The following is a 16970-nucleotide window of genomic DNA, read 5'->3' as shown; positions in this document are numbered from 1 at the left end:
GTATAAGTTTTACTATAATTGAAAAAATTACTGTACCTCTTCTATTTTCTTAGAAGAAGTTTCACTTTTATTATTTTTGAATTCTTCATTTATCTTTATTCTGGCTGCTACAAAGAGAAAAATACATATAGTTATTCGCTTTTGTAATCTATAATTCCTATCTCAATAATTGACACATTATTCACTATGAATGGCTACTTCTCTACTATAGAAATTGCCCTCATGAAAAACAAAGCATAAGAATAAGAAATTTATTAATGAAGTCTCTTGGAGAGCTTTTGACAGGGTGACAAGTTTGTAGGTAAACCTACTATAAACCTTTGGCACTCTAATATTTTTTCTTCCACTGATTTTTACTCTCAAATTCATTTGTATACCTATAGCTACTGAATTATAATAAATCTAATTTAATGTTTTATTTTTACAAATCTAAGGATTTCTATTAAAATGCTTTTTTAAGATGGTAAAATTCAATACATACAAGTATGTTAAACTACATACACACATACACAGAGATTGGCAGCAAACAGGATATATGTGTACATATATGTAAAATTTTAAGTGTCTTGGCTGACATATAAAGTGAGTGACAAATAAAACTTTTGTTTACATATACCACTGAGAATTTGATATCATTATAGCAGCATACTTTGGTAGAATCTCACTGGTCTTATTGTGCTGCTGTGAGCGTTTAATGGAACAATCCGTATAAAGTGCTTAGCAAATATGCAACAAATTGTTAGCTGTTCTTATAACTATTCCACTTGAAAAATTTAAAGCAACAAAAATATTCCATGTTGATAATTACCATAAAAACTTCCTTCTATGTTGTGTGTGTGTATATATACATATATATGTTATATATATATACATATATATGTTTTATATATATATACATATATATGTTATATATATATAAACATATATATGTATATATAATATATATGTATATATTATATATACATATATATGTTAATATATATATAACATATATGTTATATATATGTGTGTGTGTGTGTATATATATATATATTTTTTTTTTTTTTTTTTTTTTTTTTTTCAGATGGAGTCTTGCTTTGTCGCCCAGGCTGGAGTGCAGTGGCATGATCTCGGCTCACTGCAACCTCCGCCTCTGGGTTCAAGCAATTCTCCTCCCTCAAGGGATTACAGGTGTGTGCCACCATGCCCGGCTAATTTTTGTATTTTTAGTAGAGGTGGGGTTTCACCATGTTGGCCAGGCTGGTCTCTAACTCCTGACCTCAAGTAATTTGCCTGCCTCTGCCTCCCAAAGTGCTGGGATTACAGGAGTGAGCCACTGAGCCCAGCCTATGTTGCATATATTTCAATACGTAAGGTGGTTTAGAGTTTGGACTTTTGAATCAGACTGCTTAGACTAAATCCCAGGTCCACCTTTTACTCAGTATGATGTGGGACAGATATTTTCACATTTTGTCAATTTTCTCATTTGTAAAAATAGGAATTATAATAGCAACTATCTTACAGAAATGTTACAAGAATTAAATCAGGAATTCATGTAAAGTACATATAATACAATACATATATCTTATTTGTTCAGAAATTATTTTTGATGAGTTACAAAAACTTAAATCCCTGGAAACAGTGGGGACACTTTACCTAGGTGCACTCTTAAGGAGGTTCATAAATGTATGAGGAGTGGAACTGAACATGAATAACACAGAACCTAAGTTTCAGAGCCTGTGACTTCCAGATAAGATAGAAACTACTTAAAACAGGGAGATACTGAATTTAGAATCATTTGGGATGGATTCTCTTTCACAGCTGCTCTTTTAGACTGATATAAGACATTAACAACATGGTAATATCTGGTCCTAGAGACTGTGAAAATTTGATTATGTAACAGAAAGTTCAATGGCTTGAATATAAGGCAAGCAATGATAAACACTGAAATTCTGGTCCCTCGCCTTTTTTTTTGACCAACTCTTTATGAAGACTTGATCTTTAAAAATTTTTCTTTAAGTAGATATTTCTCAAATAAGTGTAATATAAGCTAATCTTTATAAAAGATATCAGAGAGAGGTAGTGAAGGTCATTCCCTAAAATGGGTCTTGACCACACAGGGTTTCTCAGAGAGATTAGTAGTTATCTAAAAAGTAGACTGGCTCCAAAGGGGTAAAGAACATACTTACCTTCTAATGCTCTGGCATCATTTTTAAAAACTTGTTGTCTGGTCCTGTGCAGTGTTTTAAAGAGCTGTAAAACCTGTTAAGAAAATCAGAATTCAAGGTTGGGCACAGTGGCTCATGCCTGTAATCCCAGCACTTTGGGAAGTTGAGGTAGCAGGATCGCTTTAGCCCAGGAGTTCGAGACCCTGGGCGATATGGTGAGACCCCCATCTCTACAAAAAAAAAATTTTTTTTTGACTTGCAGTCTCACTCTGTCACCCAGGCTGGAGTGCAGTGGTGTGATCTTGGCTCACCACAACCTCCGCCTCCTGGGTTCAAGCAATTCTCCTGCCTCAGCCTCCCGAGTAGCTGGGATTACAGGCACCTGCCACCAAGCCTGGCTAATTTTTGTATTTTTAGTAGAGACAAGGTTTCACCATGTTGTCCAGGCTGGTCTTGAGCTCCTGACCTCAGGTGATCCACCCGCCTTGGCCTCCCAAAGTGCTAGGATTACATGAGTGAGCCACTGCACCCGGCCAAAATATTTTTTTAAAATTAGTCAGGCCATGGTGGTGTGCACCTGTGGTCCTAGCTACTTGGGCGGCTGAAGTGGGAGGATTGCTTGAGTCTAGGAAGTTGAGGCTACAATGAGCTCTGACTGCACTACTACACTCCAGCCTGGGTGACAGAGCAAGACCCTGTCTCAAAAAAAAAAAAAGAAAAAAAAAAAAAAAAAGAAAAGAAAAAGAAAAAGAAAATCAGAATTCAGACCTCAAAAGGAAAACATTTCACATTTCACACAAATCGTATTATAAGGATTAAACAGTATTCCTTTTCTGTTTGTTTCATAGACTATTTTTAAAAATAGTTGGTGAAAACCAGGACTTGCCAAAATAACTTTCCTTTGATTATTTATCTCTACATTAAAAACATTTTTAGCCTTATTTACAAAAATAATACAAAGTTCTTTGAAATAAATAAAACAATATAAGGATGGTTAAAAAGTTAATAATCCTCATGCTAAAAACCAGTCTGCTACTTTACCAGTCTGGTATGTATCTGTTCTCATTTTTCTTAACCTATTGAAGTTTTAATCTGCTCAATATCATACACACACATATGCAAAATTATGAATTTATTGCATCTTAAAAGAGGCCACAGAAGGAAGATGTTTTAAACAATTTAGACAAATTTAATTGCTATTCCCTTTTTTTTTTTTTTTTTTTTTTTGAGACGGAGTCTCACCTTGTCACCCAGGCTGGAGTGCAATGACACAATCTCGGCTCACTGCAACCTCCACCTCCCGAGTTCAAGCGATTCTCCTGCCTCAGCCTCCCAAGTAGCTGAGATTACAGGCGTGTGCCACCACGCCCAGCTAATTTTTTGTTATCTTTAGTAGACACGGGGTTTCACCATGTTGGCTGGGCTGGTTTCAAACTCCTGACCTCGTGGTCCGCTGACTTGGCCTCCCAAAGTGCTGGGATTACAGGTGTGAGCCACTACGTCTGGCCCTTTTAATTGCTATTTCATAAAAGATAAGTGAAATGTTGAGACTTATGAATATTCTGAGTCTGTATTGAAAAAAATAAAAAGAGAGAAAAGAGCCTGGCATTTTGGTAAAAGACAGATTGTGAAGAGGCTTTAGTGATATGCTGAGGTCACTTCACACTTCTCAAGTCCAAAAAGGTACTCAATATTGTTCTCTCAATATTGCTCTTCCTCCACTCTTCTCTATTTTACTTATTGGAGGCCACCAAGTTTCTGAAGCCAGAAATCAGTAGGTCATCCTTTTATTATACCTTACTCTTGTCGTGGAAACTTTAGAAATGTCTCTGTAATCTTTCTTTTATCCTCTCTCAACAAAATCACTTATGTTCAGGCACTCCCCATCTCTTAGACTACTTACAAAGGTTTGTCACTTTGCCACCACACCCTCCTGTCCTCCAGTCTGTTCTGCAAATACTGTCTAACATTTACTAAGCATACTGTGTGCTAGACACCATTTTAAGTGTTTTACGTATATTAGAAAACCTATAACATCAAAGGCAGACATGAAAACAGAAATAAGAAACAGAGCAAAAAAATTTAAAAATAAAAACCAAGCTGCCATAAAAAACTTCCTCAGAAACATGTTATCGCAGAGATGGAATAACATCAATGAAAAGCTACAGTAAATTTAAAAAGGAACATTCCAAAAACTCCCAAAAGCTCTTGGCTATCAAACAGGTGAAAGTAAGGATTAAGTTGAGAAAAATTGCCCAGAATGTAGAATAAAAGTTCAGAAACAGAAATTGAGGAGAGGAAAGATAAGAAAATTAAGGGAGAAGGCCCAACAGCTAGATTAGCAGAAGGGCCAACAAGAGAGAAAAGAGAAAAGGGAGGGAAGAAATTTTAAAATTTTCACTTAATATTTGGGTAAAAGGGAAGAAAAAAAATTTCACCAAGTAAGGCACACGAATTACAAGATAGAAAGGGTTCCACCAAGTGCCCAACATAAAACTCATAACACAGCACAGCATGATGTTAAGTTCAGTGCAATGCTGATAATGAGAACAATCTCAGAGAATCAACATTTCACATGTAAAGGATGGAAAAAATCAGAATGGTACCTGATTTCTAAATAGCACCACTGTAAGAAGACAATGGAATAACATATTCAAGTTTTGAAAAAATGTCTGCTTTAGAACACCATAGATACTCAAACTATCACTCAAAGACAAGGGCAAATACATATTTTCAGAAATGCAAAGTCTCTTATCTGTCATACACACTTTATTGGAAAGCTACAGAAGAATATCCTCCACCAAAATAAGGAAATGAATCACAAAAGGAAAAGACATGGGAACCCAGGAGACAGGTAGTCTAACATGGGAGAGGCAAAGACCATGGGGAAGGACAAATGCTAGTCAACATTTGTGCAGCCAGACTAGAAAGCAACTAGGCAGGACTATAGCAAAAGACTGAATTGCTCCAGGAAAGTTATTGCAAGGAAAAATGAAACTGGTAGACTGGTTTTGCCTAGAATTTGGGAACAGATATCTAGGATATCTATTAAAGGATATTTTTAAAAAGTAATAATTTTTAAAAGGCAGTTATTAATTTAAAGATGAAGAAATGGGAAAAAAGACAATCATATAATGTACTTAAAGGGCTCAGCTGTGGGTAATTTTTATAGCAATAATAACATCAAAGATGTTAAAGTACTAGGTGCTAGTAGAACTGTGAGGGCAGCTGTTTGCTTTATAGGACACAAATGAGAAAATGTGGTGTATATATACATCATAGAATACTAAAAAAGAATGAAATCATGTCCTTTGCAGCAGCTGCTGGAGACCATTATCCTAAATGAAATAACTCAGAAACAGAAAATCAAATACTGCATATTTTGACTTATAAGTAGGTGCTAAGCAAAGGGTACGCCTTTGTGGATAGAACGCCAAAAGGGAGACGCCAAAAGGGAGGAGGATAGGAAGGGGTTGAGGGTGGAAAAATTACCTATTGGGTACAATATTCATTATTTGGGTGATGGGTTCACTAGAAGCCCAAACCTCACCATTATGTAATTTACCCATGTAATAAACCTGCATATGTACTCTCTGAATCTAAAATAAAATTAAGAAAAATAAAAAGTCAAAGAATTTGAATAGATATTTCTTCCAAAAAAAAAAAAACCCATAAATGGCCAATAAGCCATAAAAAGATGTTCAATGTCATGTGCCATCTGGAAACACAAATCTAAACCTCAATGAGATACCATTTCATCCCAGTAGAATGGCTACTGTAAAAAAGACAGTCAATAAAAAGAGTTGACAAGGACATGGAAAAATAGGAACTCTTATACATTGTTTGGCATTTAAAATGGTACAGTTGCTTTGGGAAACAGTTTGGCAGTTGCTAAAAAAAGTTAAACCTACAGTTATCTTATGACCCAGAAATTCTACTACTAGGTATATACTCAAGACAAATGAAAACATGTTCACACAAAAACATGTATGCTAATGTTCATGGTAGTATTATTCATAATAGTGAAAAAGTAGAAATAACCTAAATGTCCATGAACTCATGAACGGGGAAGTAAAATGTGAAATATCCTTATTAATAAGAGCTTAATTAGCTCTTAATAAGCTAACGCAGGCTGATGCAGTGGCTCACGCCTGTAATCTCAGCCCTTTGGGAAGCTGAGGTGGGTGGATCGCTTGAGCACAGGAGTTCAAGACCAGCCTGGCCAACATGGTGAAACCCTGTCTCTACTAAAAAATACAAAAAATTAGCTGGTGTGGTGGTGGGCACCTGTAATCCCAGCTACTTGGGAGGTTGAGGCAGGAGAATTGCTTGAACCTGGGAGGTGGAGGTTGCAGTGAGCCGAGATGGTGCCACTGCACTCCAGCCTGGGTGACATCGAGATTCCATCTCAAACAAAACAAAACAAAACAAAACAAAACCAGCCTGGGCAACATGGCCAAACCCTGTATCTACAAAAAATAAAAAAATTAGCCAGGCGTGGTGGAGGGTGCTTGTAGTCCTAGCTACTCGGGAGGCTGAGGTGGGAGGATCTCTTGAGCTTGGGAGGCAGAGGTTGCGGCGAGCCAAGATGACACCACTGCACTGCAGGCTGGGTGACAGAGTGAGACCCTGTCTCAAAACAAAACAAAACAAAACAAAACAAACAAACACACCCAAAAAAGGCCGAGCGTGGTTGCTCATGTTGCTCATGCCTGTAATCCTAGCACTTTGGGAGGTCAAGGCAGGCAGATCACCTGAGGTCAGGAGTTTGAGACCAGCCTGACCAACATGGAGAAACCCCATCTCTACTAAAAATACAAAATTAGCCGGGCATGGTGGTGCATGCCTGCAATCCCAGCTACTCGGGAGGCTGAGGCAGGGGAATTGCTTGAACCTGGGAGGCAGGGGTTGTGGTGAGCCGAGATTGCGCCACTGCACTCTGCCCTGGCCAACAATAGCGAAACTCCATCACCAAAAAAAAAAAAAAAAAAGAGATTGAAGCTGGTGACTTTGAGTTGAAGCCAATAATTTGTCATTCCAAAATCCTAGGACCCTTAAGAATTATGCTAAGTCTACTCTACCTGTGCTCTACAAATCAACAAAGTGCATCTGTTTAAAGCATGGTTCGCGGATATTTTAAGCCCACTGTTGAGATCTGCTCAGAAAAAAAAAGATTCCTTTCAAAATATTACTGCTCACTGACAACACACCTCATCACCCAAGAGCTCTGATGGAGATGTAAAAGGAAATTAATATTGTTTTCATGACTGCCAATACAACATCCATTTTGCAGCCCCGCAGGTCAAGGCCAAGTAGTAATTTTGGCTTTTAAGTCCTTTTTTTTTGAGACAGGGCCTTGTTCTGTCACCCAGGCTCGAGTGCAGTGGTACGATCATGGCTTACTGAAGTCTCGATCTTCTGGGCTCAAGCGATCCTCCCACCTCAGCCTCCAAAGTTGCTGGGAGCACAGGCGCATGCCACACATTGAGCTAATTTTTGTACTTTTTGTAGAGACAGGTTTTGCCATGTTGCCCAGGCTGGTCTTGAACTCCTGACTCAAGCAATCTGCCCACCTCAGCCTCCCATAGTGCTGGGATTAGAGGTGTGAGCCAGACTTCTAAGTCTTATTTAAAAGACTCATAAGGCTATAGCTGCCATAGACAGTGATTCCTCTGATGAATTTAGGCAAAGTAAATTGAAAACCTCCTGGGAAGGATTCACCATTCCAGATGCCATTCAGAGAATTCAAGAGAGGAGGCCAAAATAGCAACAATAACAGGCATTTGGAAGAAACTTATTTGAACACTCATGGATGACTTCGAGGGGTTCAAGACTTCAGTGGAGGAATTAACTGCAGATACGTGGAAAGTGCAAGTGAAACTAGGATAAGAAGTGGAGCCTTAAGATGTGACTGAATTGCTGCAATCTCGATAAAACTTAAATGCATGAGGAGTTGCTTCTCATGAATGAGCAAAGAAAGTGGATTCTTGAGTTTATGAAGATCATCACTCACATCACTTCACCCCTGGTGAAGATGCTGTAAACATTGTTGAAATAACAACAAAGGATTTAGAATATTATATGAACTCAGTTGATAAAGTAGTGGCTGGGGTTGAGAGGATTGAATCCAATTTGAAAGATGCTCTACTGTGGGTAAAATGCTATCAAACAGCATTGCATGCTACAGATAAATCTTTTGTGTGTGAAAGAGTCAATCAATGTGGTCAACTTTACTGTAGTCCTATTTTAAGAAATTGTCACAGTCATCTTAACCTTTAGCAACCACCAATCTGATCAATTAGCAGCCATCAACATCGAGGCAAGATCTTTCATCAGCAAAAAGATTACAACTTTCTGAAAGCTCAAATAATTGTTAGCATTTTATAGCAAAAAAGTATTTTTTTATTTAAGGTATGTACTTCCTTATTTTTTATTTTTTGAGATGGAGTTTTGCTCTTGTTGCCCAGGCTGGAGTGCAATGGTGCGATCTCGGCTCACTGCAGCCTCTGCCTCCTGGGTTCAAGGGATTCTGCTGCCTCAGCCTCCTGAGTAGCGTAGCTGGGATTACAGACAAGTGCCACCAAGCCTAGCTAATTTTTGTATTTTTAGTAGAGACGGGGTTTCACTGCGTTGGCCAGATGGGTCTCGAACTCTTGACCTTGTGATCCGCCCACCTGGGCCTCCCAAAGTGCTGGGATTACAGGCGTGAGCCACCTTTCCCAGCCAACATATGTACTTTCTAAAGACATAATGCTACTGCACACTTAATAGACTACATTATAGTGTAAACATAACTTTTATATGCACTGGGACCAAAAAACTTGTATTACTCGCTTTACTGCAATATACACTTCGTCGCCGTGGGCTTGAACCAAACCTGCAGCATCACCTAGGTATGCCTGTATCTAAAAATGTGGAAGTGGCTTTGGAATTGAGTAATGTGTAGAGGCTGGAATAACTCTGAGGTGCTTGATAGTAAAAGCCTGGATTGCCTTGGTAAAAATACGGGCTTTGCAAGCATCGTAGAATCCCAGGGATTTTAATATTGCAAGAGCAGAGAAGACATGTTGCATGGGATTAAAAAAATGAGAAGTAAGTAAACATAATGGTTTTACATGCTATTTAAAGTACAACATTAGTACAACAAATTAGCATCCCTAATTTAAGAGGACTAGTGTAAGAAAATGTTATCATTATTGCCATAGCACTATTGGAGTTAACATTACCTTGGAGCAGATAAACTTTTATTAAAATGCAGAAAGCCAGGTCACAGACTGTATTCTCTTCCTCATTTACTTATACTGATTGGACAATTCAGGCAGTGTAGATGAAAAGTGGATTCTTTATAGTCAGATGAGTTTGAATCTGAGATTGTCACTTAATGTAAGCTTGGACAAGTAACAGCCTTTTTGCCTCAATTTTCTTGAATAATGGATTAATTTTAAGGGTTATAATTTCTGTGCTAGGTTTCACTTTCCTATTTTTTTTTGGACGTAGGATCTTGTTGTCACCCTTGTTGGACTGGTCACCTTTGTATCTTCCCACATGTAGCATAAGTGCCTTCTATATATTGTAGGCTCTACCAAAAGTGTTTTTGGAATGAATCCTACTTAATTCCATTTGTATCCAAGTTTTCCAACCAAATCCCCACTTCAAGGACTTTCCATGTGCTAGTTGCCTTTTCTAGAATGCTTTTTTCTCTTCTCTAGCTAATTTCTAATCAAACGTCAGGTCTGAACTTCCTTGAGAGATTATTTATTTATTTACTTATTTTTTGAGATGAAGTCTTGCTCTGTCACCCAGGCTAGAGTGTAGTGGCGCAGTCTCGGCTCACTGCAACCTCCACCTCCCAGGTTCGAGAAACTCTTGTGCCTCAGCCTCCCGAGTAGCGGGATTACAGGCACCCGCCCCTATGCCCAGCTAATTTTTGTATCTTTAGTAGAGATAGGGTTTCACCATGTTGCCTAGGCTGGTCTCGAACTCTCGACCTCATGTGATCCTCTCGCCTCGGTCTCCCAAAGTGCTGGGATTACAGGTGTGAGCCTCTGCACCCAGCCCCTTGAGAGATCGTATGTGAAATCCTAGTTATATGCTCACAAAACACTGCAGTTTCAAATCAAAGCATTTATTACAACTGTAATTAAATAACTGTTTAAGGTCTCCCCACCTGCTAGATTTCTTTATGAAGGCAAGGATGTTCAGCTTATTGTTGCATCCACTATGCTTAGACAATATAGGCTAAATGTTGGTTGTTGGCTATAATAATAGCTATTATGGACATTCAAATAAATTTTTGAATGAATAACCCTGAGCAATTCTGTTTCTATTGGTGCTGTGACATTATGTACAAAAGTACATGAAGGCTGCTTGGTGGTTCCCATATTATTGACTAGACATAAACACTGCTTTTCTTCACCATATTATAGCAGGCTATTTCCTCATGTTTATGTTTCAGCCAGTGACAACTACAGATCCCAATTGGCCATGCTGATGTTAAACGTTAAAGGATGGCTGCCAATGAGAATTGTGCGCCGGGCAGGAACGTGCATCATGCTTGGGCGTGAGAAATGAATCTGAGACCAGGTAGGTACTCAGAGAGGTATAATCCGAGCACAGCCATCACATCCCAAGCTCATTCAGTGAGCTCAGGTCTCACCAGTCCCTGCTCTGTCTTGCTGTTACTTTTGACAAGTAACTTTGCTGGGGTTCGGTTTCCTTGGCTGCTAGACTTCTGTGCACCTTCTGTTTATCTGAATAAACTTTCACCTCATTGAACTGCTGTTGCTCAGGTCAGCCTTTGGCGTCTCCTATACTTCCCAGGGATATGAAATGGGTCCCTCAGACAAATACTCGGTCTGAAGATGAAACGAGGGCAGAACTCAAGTCGCAGATTTGTATCATGGATAAACACTGAGTACCAAGTTAGTACCAAGAAGTAGGAACCACACTGGTGCCTCCCGCTCTCCTCCGCACGTGCACAAACCCTCAACTGCCCCTAGGAGTTGGTCATCTGGCTTCTCTGGGGTAACAGCCACATCCTCCATAAAGGGTCAGGAGCCCCAGCCTCCAGAGACTCCAGACAGTTTTCTCAAGGACGCGAACATACCCTCCCCGACGGCATCGTACCCACCCCTTCCCGGGCCCTGTCACCTTGACTGCCCGTCCCATGGCTCTCCTCACCGCGGCCGCTACCTCCAGAGCAGTCGAGTAGCCCCGCCTCTCAGCAACCAATCAAAGACTGAACTGTTTCCAGCCCCCTGTAGTCGCGTTACTAATGCGCCACAACGAATCACTAGGCAGCATCTCCCTTTTAGCCCCGCCCTCCTCCAAAGGACGGAGGAGGCGTTTGCTAAACGGGCGTTTGCTAAAGGCGTTTGCTAAACGGATGGGAACTGGTAAAATCGCGAGGAGCCGCAGAGCCCAATTACTGGCCAGAAGAGAACGGAAATCACCTGGACGCCATGTTAGTTAGGGGCACAGTCACTTCCGGCGCAGGGATCGTCTGCTAGGCGGACTAGGTTTGTATATAGTGGATGGCGTCGGCACCCGCGTTTTGTTACCTCCTGTTTAGGGTATAGGATCGTCTGTAAAAGAACCTTTATTTTAACGTTTCCCAGTTGCGACTATCTCTTTGGAAATGTGCATAAATAAAAGCCAAGTCCTAACAGCTGCAGCGGGCATTGATTGGAACACTGACTCCTAAAAATTTTATGCGTATATTCTCTCATTTATTTCCATAGAAGGTGAGGTTAAATTACTCGCTGAAGTTCGCACATTTAGTAAATGGAGATCTGGGATGCAAATCCGCTATGCCTGACCGTAAAGCCTAGTTTTACCCTTTACATTTTGCCTATTCAGCTCTCTCTACTCCTTGGTTTTGCTGATAAAGAGGTCAGAAATGGGTAATTAATCAGCAGCATCATAATTAGAAACAATCATAAGTATTTAAGTGCGTTTCAACTTATGACCTTGCAAGCATCAAGAAAAAACTCTGTAGTCACGTTACTAACGCGCCACAACCTTTTCCTATTGTTCCTATTGCATAATTGTTCTCCTTCCCTACCCGTGTAGCCTTTCAGGTTAACTTTTAGGTAAAATTGACTTCTTATTAAAAATGAAAGATCTGGACCAATGGATTTCCAAGGCCCTTTTCTTTCTCTGTGATCTATGTTATTCTAAGGAATTATTGCAAGTCATTCTGAGAATAACAAGATAATCGATTTTTTAAAATTAAGATGCATTCGATTTGCAGAACATTTAACGTAATGAAGCGATTAAACCAAGTATACTGGATATTGTCTTTTATCTGAGAAACAATAAACTAGATGATCTTGGACCTTGCATTGTGTTTTCTGAATGCTGACGGTGATTTAAAAGATACCCCGTCCCCGCTCCCCCATTTTCAGTGTAGACTCATAGTGCAGCTTCCTGAAAATTCATAACTTATTGTGATGATTTCTTGCTAGCTACTGTCCTGAATTCAGTTAACCAAAGTCCCTCATCTGCTGATACTTTAAAACAGTTCTATAATGACAGAATCAGTTCAGTTCTGTGGCTCCTCTTTTCTTAAATAAATCTGCATGTCTCCTTTAACTGTTCCACATATGAGGTGGGCTCTTCACTATTCTAGTTGTTCTGGGAACATGGCCTGGTTTGTCTTGTCACCCCAAAATAATCAAAAGGCTAAGGATCCAGTTAAAAAGGTTTATTCAACTGTAAAGTGTAAGGGCAGTCATATGGGAACATGTAGACACCAAAGAATGCTGATCAGTGCTTCCAGCGTAAGGAAAATTGAAGATGGTTTATATAAGACAAAATGGAGATGCCAAACAGAATTACAACATTTTCCAAACAATGGATAACATCCAGATTTAAGATCTGATTGGCTAGTATTGATTACACTCTAAGGTGGTTGCTTAATATTCTATCGTAAAAAAGTAACAATCACAAGGGTCTACAGCTCTAATATTATGTAGTCCAGGTTTGAAACGAAGAATAGGGAGTCTGATTAATGTATAACATCTCAACACAAAGGTCGGGAAGCAACAATAGTCATGCACCAGAGAAGAAAAACAGCTGTATTACATGACTCAGTTTTCAAGGCTTAACTTTGCCCCCTTGGCTTAATAAATTTGGAAGGTTCTGAAATTTCATTGTCTTTTTAAAGTTTGCATCTCAAAGTATAAGTCGCAGAACTGAACAGGAAATTCCAGCATGTTCATCATGTAAGTTCACAGAGCTATGTAGTAGGCAGAATAATGGCCTCCAGAAGATAACTGTTGAGATTCCGGAACCTCTGACTATGTTATATATGACAAGAGGCTTTGAAGATGTCATTAAATTAAGTATTTTGAGATGGGAAGATTATCCTGGATTGTGTGCTGGACTCAGTGTAATCACAAGGATCCTTATAAGTGAAAGAAGGAAGCAGAGTCAGGGAGAAGTTTGAAGATGTTCTGCTGCTGGCTTTGAAGATGGAGGAAGATGGAGGAAGGGGCCACAAACCAAGCAAGCCTCCTCTAGAAATTGGAAACGGTGAGGAAATGATTTCTTCCCTAGAGCATCCAGAAGGAATGCACCCTTGCCAACACTTGATTTTAGCTCAGTGAAACTCAATTTGGACTTCTGACTTACAAAATGCTACCTGTTTTTGGCTCCTTCCATTTTCTTTTCCTTTTTTTTTTTTTTTTTTTTTTTTTTTTGAGAAGGAGTCTCCTACTGTCGCCCAGGCTGGAGTGCAGTGGCATGATCTCAGCTCACTGCAAGCTCCGCCTCCCTGATCTCAGCTCACTGCAAGCTCCGCCTCCCGTGTTCACGCCGTTCTCCTGCCTCGGCCTCCTGATTATCTGGGACTACAGGCGCCTGCCACCACGCCCAGCGAATTTTTTATATTTTTAGTAAAGACGGGGTTTGACCATGTTAGCCAGGATGGTCTCAATCTCCTGACCTCGTGATCCGCCTGCCTTGGCCTCCCAAAGTGCTGGGATTACAGGCGTGAGCCACCGCACCTGGCCCAACTCCTTCCATTTTCAAAGCCAATAATGGAGCTTTTTTTTTTTTTTCGAGACAGAGTCTTACCCTGTTGCCAAGGCTGCAATGGCATGATCTCGGCTCACTGCAACCTCCGCCTCACAGGTTCAAACGATTCTCCTGCCTCAGCCTCCCGAGTAGCTGGGATTACAGGCTCCTGCCACCATGCCCAACTATTTTTGGTATTTTTAGTAGAGACAGGGTTTCACCATGTTGGCCAGGCTGGTCTCAAACGCCTGACCTCATGATAGCCCACCTCGGCCTCCCAAAGTGCTGGGATTACAGTCGTGAGTCACCACACCCGGCCGAGCATTTTCAAATCTCAGACTCTCACCTCTGCCTCTGTGGTCACATCTCCTTCTCTTACTCTCACTCTTCTGTGTCTCTCTTTCACTTACAAGGGCTGTTGTGATTACTTTGGGCCCACCTAGATAATGCAGGAACCTCCCTATTCCAAGATCCTTAACTTAATCACATCTACAAAATCCCACTTACCATGTAAAGTAACATATTCACAGGCTCCAGGGATTAGGACATGGGCATCTTCTGCCTAGCACACTGAGTTTGCGTGATGCCAGTCAATAAGGTTGAAATGGAAAGAAATGAGGTAGAAGCAGCAGCAATGGGCCTGATCACACAGGGCCCTATAAGCCAAGGTAAGGATGTTGGATTTTATTCTGTGATGTTATACACTAGCATATTACCAGCAGGAGAGTGACATTATGATTTATATTTTATAAAGATCATTTTGGGTGCTGTGTGGCAAATTAACTACAATGGAAGCAGATAGGTTATCCAACTAGGAGCCTTTCAAAGTACTCCAGGAAAGAGATGTTAGTAGCTTGGATTAGAGTAGTGGAGATAGAGGAGATAAGTGATTAGATCCTTGGTGATGTGTGTTGAAAGTACAGAGAGAAGGTTTAAGGATGATTTCAAGGCTTTTTGGCTGGAGTGACTGGGTGAATGGTGGTACAGCAGATACAGAATCCTGCAAAAGGAGGTTTTGGTTTGTTTGTTGTGGAGGGAGTCAAAATAAAATTGCAGTGCCTGGTAGCCATCTAAGTGGAGGTGGTCAATAGGCTGTAATGTATGTCACAGACCAGTCTGGAATTAAGGGAAGAGGTAGGTCAAGAGACAAATACTTGAGAGTCACTACTCTATAGATGGTAAAGCCTTCAGATGGAATGAAAGCTGACCATGTTATTTATTATCCAAACCAGCACACATTTTTTTATTTTGACAATTTCAGACACATAAAAGTTGCAAGAATAATACATAGAATTTGCATATGCCTTTCAGTCAGATTCTCCAAATGTTAACATTTTATTGTAATTGCTTTATCCTTTTCTATTTCTCTAATTACCTATAGACAGACACTTTTTCTCTGAACTATTTGAAAGTAAGTTGCGGACATGATACCCATAGCCTTAAATACTTCAGTGGGTTTTTCCTACAAAGACATTCCCTTGTATCAGTAGTTCTTAAAGTATGGTTCCCGGGCCAGCAGCAACTGTATCACCTGGAAAGTTAGAAACCTAACTTGTAGGGCCCCACCCCAGATCAACTGATTTTGACAATTTTTCTGTGGTTATGAAAGGAAATTAACATGACTTCAAAACTATTATCTAATTTATAGGCATTATTTAGATTTTACGAATTGTCCCAGTAATGTCTTTGATAGCAAAAGTACCAAATGGACACTTTTGAGATTAAAGGCAACCACATTCAATAATTTTGCCAAGACAAGGGTAGTAATGTAATCATAAAAGGCAGCTGAGCTCACATCTGTAATCCCAGCACTTTGGGAGGCTGAGGCGGGTGGAACACCTGAGGTCAGAAGTTTGAGAACAGCCTGGCCAGCATGGGGAAACCCTGTCTCTACTAAAAATACAAAAATTAGCCAGGTGTGGTGGTGCGCGCCTGTAGTCCTAGCTACTTGGGAGGCTGAGGCATGAGAATCACTCGAACTCGGGAGGCAGAGGTTGCAATGAGCCGAGATTGTGCCACTGCAGTCGAGCCTGGGCGACAGAGCAAGAATCTATCTAAAAAAAAAAAAGGCATTGAGGAGGTATACTTTTTCTTAATACGTACACTTAGAGGTCTGGTATGATAACTGTAATTGTCTATAGGATTTTATAAATGGATGTCCTTAGTGACCTTGACAAGAGGGAAATGGACTCAAAAATGAAAGATAAGAAAGCAGACATGGTATGTAGAAAACTTCTTTATAAAACGAGCAAAGATACGGAGGGGGATGTGGGATTAAGGAAGGTTTTTTTTTTTAAAGTGGGTCATTTTATTAATACATTATGTTGATTGCTGCTGGGAAAAATTCTTTGCAGAGCAGTCTAGGGAGGTTTACAAACTACTGATGCCTGGGGCTCATCTCCAAAGATTCTTATTTAATGGATCTGGGCTGCAGCCAGGTTCACGGGGATTTTTAAAAGCTCCCCAAGTGATCTTAATGTGTAGTCAAGATTGAGAACCACTGGTAGAGAGAGAAAAAAACTCTGTTGAAGAGAGGACTTAAAATCTGCTGCAGCAGCAAGACCTTAAATAATCTAAGTGCTAAGTTGCAGCCAGCACCACTTAAATTATCAAATCTTGTCAGTTACAGTATCCAACTTTCCCTACAAGCATCCATAGGCAGACGAAGGGTTTATACCAGTAACTGCATTCCCCAGGAGACAAGAAAGGAGGATAGAAAAACGACTTAGGAATCTCCTTGGAGCTCAAGACCAGGAACTTCCCCAAGCCGGAGGTCCCTGAGGCGCTCTAGCGCGCTGGCCGCAC

General features: G+C 40.1%; 1 protein-coding gene across 3 annotated transcripts in view, besides 4 other annotated features; it reads right to left on the bottom strand.

The window, feature by feature from the left end:
- LYRM7 (LYR motif containing 7) overlaps positions 1-11392 on the bottom strand; it is a 34485-nt gene extending 23093 nt beyond the window's left edge. For 2 of the 3 annotated variants that reach the window (NM_181705.4, NM_001293735.2), the window contains exons 1-3: positions 11298-11392; positions 2169-2241; positions 37-107 (exon numbers count right to left, since the gene is read on the bottom strand). In NM_181705.4, the coding sequence (NP_859056.2) occupies positions 37-107; positions 2169-2241; positions 11298-11315 (162 nt within the window). In that variant the 5' untranslated portion in view covers positions 11316-11392. The remainder of the gene's footprint in view (positions 1-36; positions 108-2168; positions 2242-11297) is intronic. The other variant, NR_121658.2, reaches the window with a different exon arrangement.
- Positions 10569-10618: a silencer, noted in NCBI's record as "silent region_16303". NCBI's record gives its function as "represses an Ori minimal core promoter by ATAC-STARR-seq in GM12878 lymphoblastoid cells {active_cell/tissue: GM12878}" and the evidence as "EXISTENCE:reporter gene assay evidence [ECO:0000049][PMID:35858748]".
- Positions 11529-11718: an enhancer, noted in NCBI's record as "active region_23041". NCBI's record gives its function as "activates an Ori minimal core promoter by ATAC-STARR-seq in GM12878 lymphoblastoid cells {active_cell/tissue: GM12878}" and the evidence as "EXISTENCE:reporter gene assay evidence [ECO:0000049][PMID:35858748]".
- Positions 16711-16760: an enhancer, noted in NCBI's record as "active region_23040". NCBI's record gives its function as "activates an Ori minimal core promoter by ATAC-STARR-seq in GM12878 lymphoblastoid cells {active_cell/tissue: GM12878}" and the evidence as "EXISTENCE:reporter gene assay evidence [ECO:0000049][PMID:35858748]".
- Positions 16911-16960: a silencer, noted in NCBI's record as "silent region_16302". NCBI's record gives its function as "represses an Ori minimal core promoter by ATAC-STARR-seq in GM12878 lymphoblastoid cells {active_cell/tissue: GM12878}" and the evidence as "EXISTENCE:reporter gene assay evidence [ECO:0000049][PMID:35858748]".

Source organism: Homo sapiens, chromosome 5 (assembly GCF_000001405.40).
Source record: "Homo sapiens chromosome 5, GRCh38.p14 Primary Assembly".
In the NCBI taxonomy this organism is placed as follows: domain Eukaryota; kingdom Metazoa; phylum Chordata; class Mammalia; order Primates; family Hominidae; genus Homo; species Homo sapiens.
Note: the sequence above shows the minus strand (reverse complement) of the source record. Positions and strands in the feature narration are given on the sequence as shown.